Source organism: Homo sapiens, chromosome 11 (assembly GCF_000001405.40).
Source record: "Homo sapiens chromosome 11, GRCh38.p14 Primary Assembly".
In the NCBI taxonomy this organism is placed as follows: domain Eukaryota; kingdom Metazoa; phylum Chordata; class Mammalia; order Primates; family Hominidae; genus Homo; species Homo sapiens.
In genome coordinates, this window is record NC_000011.10 from 13,606,412 (window position 1) to 13,611,390 (window position 4,979).

The 4,979-nt window shown below is 38.5% G+C and overlaps 1 pseudogene; it reads right to left on the reverse strand.

The window, feature by feature from the left end:
• Window positions 1-3,787: 3,787 nt before the first annotated feature.
• On the reverse strand, window positions 3,788-4,362 carry HMGN2P36 (high mobility group nucleosomal binding domain 2 pseudogene 36; annotated as a pseudogene).

Sequence of the window (4,979 nt, forward strand, 5' to 3'; positions counted from 1 at the left end):
AGGATTGTTTTTTTCTCTGTTTCTGTGAAGAATGTCATTGGTATTTTTTTGATTCTTTTATGCTCTCATGTCCTACATCTAATCTATGTGCAATTTCTGCTGCCTCTAACATCAGAATATATTCCAAATCCAGGCATTCCTCACCTTCTCCCCCACTGTCATCTCAGCCCTAGCCACCCTCATTCCACATCTGACTGTTGTAATAACCACCTACCTAGTCTTTCTGCTTTCACCCTTACCTTCTATATAGTGGCCAAAGTATTTCATAATATAAATCAGATCATATAACTGCCTTTATCTTAGAGCTCAAATGACTTCCCATCTCCCTACATTATCTGCCCTCTGATTGCCTCTCCAGCCTTGCCTCCTCCCTCTCTTTCTCTTCTCACTCTACTCCAGCCACAGCGTTCCTGCTGGTCTTCAATACATCAAGCTTGTTCCCATCTCACAGTATTTGTGCCTGCTGGGTTTCCTCTCCCAGAAATGCTTCCAGTTGGGTCACATGACCTGCTATCTCACTTCAGCCCAGTCTTCATTTATCACCTACTTAGAATGGCCTTCCCTGTCCATCTTATCTAAATAACCTCTTGCCCCTCTTCATTCTGTAATCGCTCACTCAGCTTTATCTGTGTTTTTGTTTATTCATTTATTTTCTTCACCCTTACCCCCACCTTCCTGACCCTAGAACATAAGTGCAATGAGTAAAGGGATTTAATTTGTTCACTTCTATAGCCAATGCCAGGAACATAATATTTGTTAAGTTATGGGTAAATAATTTAATAAAAGGAGTCAACAAGGTAGTTTGCATTTTTAAGAAATATAATAGGATGTATTGATAGAAATGTAATCTTGGAGAGTTCAGATTCTGTTCATGAGTGGCATTACCCTCCAGCCCATTTGCAAGAGGTGTGTGGCCAGATGAATTAGGATCGTCATCTTCCCACATATGTCTAGTTGTATCTGCAATTTAACAGAGGCATAAAGATATTGAAAGATGGCTGATGGACCAGAGTAGGCCTGACCGAGGTCTAAATAAAGGATAGGGGGACAATGCCTGTAAAAATATACTCCCCATGAGGACCAAAGTTGTATGGATCAGAGGGTCAGCTTTCACATTGAGGCTAGAGGGGAGCATTCCTTACGGAGACTGTTTCTACCTTCCCACACTGAAGCTGTGGGTTGTTAGGTGAAAAATTGTTTTTATGTGTGAATTGAAAGAGCTGTACCACTCAGGAAATGTACCATGTGGAACTAAGGCTGTTTCTGTCGTGGGAGATTGTGTCCGAGATTGTTACTTGTCCCCAGTAGCCCTTCTTTCTTTTTTCTAAAGCAAGTTCAGCAAACTTTTTCTGTAAAGGCCCAGATAGTGATTATGTTTGGCTTTGAGGGCCATGTAATACATAAACAAATGGGCAGGCTCTGTTCCAATAACTTCATTTACAAAAATAGGTGCTAGTGGAAGTTGGTCTCTAGCCATAGTATGGCAACCCTTGTTATAGATAACAGTAAAATTTTTAGCTGAGTACATGGCTGCCTAGCTAAAGGCCTTGTTTTATAGCCTGCCTTTTAGCTATCTGTAGCAAAGTGATGCATTTAGCATGTATTTGAATCAGAGTTTCTTTCTTTTTTTTTTTTTTCTTTAAGACAGAGTCTCACTGTGTCGCCCAGGCTAGAGTGCAGTGGTGCAATCTCACTGCAGCGTCAACCTCCTGGGCTCAAGTGATTCTCCCACCTTGGCCTCCCAAGCAGCTGGGACTACAGTCACACGCCAGTACCCATAACTAATTTTTATATTTTTTGTAGAGACAGGGTTTTGCCATGTTGCCCAGTCTGGTCTTGAACTCCTGAGCCAAGTGATCTGCCCACCTTAACCTCCCAAAATGCTAGGATTATAGGCATGAGCCACTGAGCCTGGCCTAGACAAGGTTTCTTAGTTTTCAATACTATTGACATTTTAGGCCATATAATTCTTATTTTATTTTTATTGATATATATTTATACTATAAAAAATTTACTGTTTTAAAGTCTACAGTTCAGTGGCTTTTTAGTATTTTCACAAAGTTGTGTTCAAGAATCACTATTATCTATTTCAGAACATTTTTCTCACCCCAAAAAGAAACCCTGTAACCATTAGCAGCCATTCCTCATTCCTGTTCCCATCCACAAGCCTCTGGCAGCCACTTACCTACTTGCCTATTCTGGACATTTCATATAAATGGAATCACACAGTATGTGCCCTTTTGTCTCTGGCTTCTTTCACTTAGTGTAATGTTTTCAATGTTCATCTGTGTTGTAGCATGTATCAACAGTCCATTCTATTTTCCATGAGTGAATAAATAATATGCCGTTGTATAAATATATCACATTTTGTTTACCCATGCATCAGCTGATGAACATTTGAGTTTTTTCCACTTTTTGGCTACTATGAAAAATACTTTTATGAACATCATGTACTAGCTGGCCATATGGTAACTCTATGTTTAACCTTTGAAAAATTGCCGAACTGTTTTCCAAAGCAGCTGCACCACTTTACATTCTCTCTAGTAATGCATGAGGGTTCCAATTTCTTTACATCCTCACCAACACTTGTTTACATTTGCTTTTTGATTATAGCCATGCTAGTGGATATGAAATGGTATCTCATTATGACTTTGATCTGGAAATACTGAAATTCATTTATCCATTCTACTACAATAGCTTTTGAGTCATAGTTGGTTTGAGCTATAATGAATAATGCTCTGCGAACATTCTGTTACATGTCTTCTGATATGCATATTCATTCATTTCCTATATAAAGAACTGAAATTAGTTGCACCATTATGCATTTCCACTAGCAGTGTTTTGAGAGATACAGTTGCTTTGCAATTTCCCAGTAATGGCATTTTCACTGTTTTTTAGTTTTAGTTGTTCTGGTGAGTGTAAAGTGGTATTGCAGTGTGATTTTACTTTGTATTTCTCTAATAACTGTGCACCTTTTCAAATGTTTATTGGCCACTTGATATCCTCTTGTGAAATGCCTGATCAACTCTCTTGCCCATTTCTTAAATTGGGTTTTCAGTTGTTTTCTTCTTGATTTATAGGCATTCTTTATGGATTCTAGACACAAGGCTTTGATTAGATTTAGTAATTTATGCATAGAAAGACACATATAGTAATATCTTCTCAAAGCTTTTTCTCTCTCTTTTTTTCTCAAGCCAAACCATATCCAGCTTTATTAAAGATACTTTCCAAAAACAATCATGGTATTTCAGGCAGGACATGGGCAGAAATTGTTAACAGTATACAGCAACTTTCAAACTCCCTTCTTCAATGGACTACCAAAAATTAGAAAGCCACTATGAAACCGAATAAAGTCTTCATCTGATGCTCTGAACAGGGGAAGTTTAGAGTGAGGGTTGACATTTCATATTTAGCATGTTGTTTAACAACTTTTCACGAGCCGACCCTGACTCTCAGGAACTGAAAAAAAAATGGCAGAATTTATCTGAAGATCCACAATCTAGAAACAGAACCACTGCTGTTTTGAAGGGCACCATCTCAGTGGCATCACTGGGAAGTCCAGATTGCCTGACACACTGGTAACCAATGACTGGGGGTCAGTCCCAACAGGTGTCTGGATTTAAGGGAGTTAATTCTATGTTGAAAGGTGGAAAGGGAGACAATGACATAAAAAATGAATTTGTTTTTTCATACCACAAAGGTTTTGTGCCAAGGTGGCCATGTGTCTCAAAGTCATGGAATCCCTCCTCCTGGGAGCCAAGAGGAAGTCTCTCAAAACTGGAAGGGAAAGGTGTTTTCTCCACATCAATCCAACTTTGGAGACATTCTATTAGTGACGTATGTCCCTTCCCCCAAAAACAAGTGTTCTGTGTGCTAACAGCATAACTTAAAACAGAATTCTGCATTTTCGTAAAACATGATAAAAATAATATTTCAAACTGTACCATCACCAGGAGTGCACAGTTATCAAAAATGCACATACTTCACTTGGCATCTCCAGCGCCTTCAGCTTTCTGTGCGTGGTCTGTTTTGGTCTCTCCATTTTCTGCAGGGTTATTCCCCTCCTTGCCAGCATCAGCTTTTCCCTTTTTCCCTTTGAGTACCTTCTCTCCATTCTTTGCAGGGCCCTTTTTAGGCTTGGACCCTGGCTTTGGAGGAGCAGGTTTAGCAGTCAACCTCACAGATCTTCTCTGTGGTTTGTCCTTCACCTTGGCTTTAACTCCTTTAGCATCCCCTTTAGCCTTTCTTCTTGGGCATGGTGTCGGAGATTGTGGTGGGTGGTAGGTGCTGGGCATGGGATGCAGTGGCCGCAGGATGCAGTGGCTGTGGTTGGTCCAGGAGCCATTCTCACCTCTTCTTCACTCTAAAGCTTTTTCTCCTAATGGTGTCTTTTCATGAACGATATTTCTTAGTTTTAACCTAATTCAATTTATCAAATATTTTTGTATATTCTAAAATCATGATAATATTCTCTGTAATACTGTAGAGGCCTTATAGATTACTAGTTTCCACATTATACCTACAGTTTACTTGGAATTTATTTTGTGCTTAATGTATGGTAGAGATCAAGCTATATCTACATATTATTTATTGATATTTAATTAACTTAGCACCACTTATTGATCTTCAGTAAAATCTTCATCATAAATCAGGTATCTACATTCCTTGGGTCTATCTGGATCTTCTATTCTGTTCTTTGGTCTATTCATCTTCTCTTTTGACAATTCCACACTGTCTAAATTACTGTAACTTTATAAGAAGTTTTTCTGCTTTATAGAGTAAGAACTTTGTTCTTTTATAAAAGTATGATGCTACTCCTAGCTCTTTGTTTTTCCAAATAAATTTTTAAGTCAGTTTGTCAGTTTCCACATATACAAAAGTACCTACTGGCATCTTGATTAAAATGACACCAAATCTAGGAAAAATTTGGATAAGAACTGATATTTTTATAATATTCAGTTTTATAACATGCGTAATTG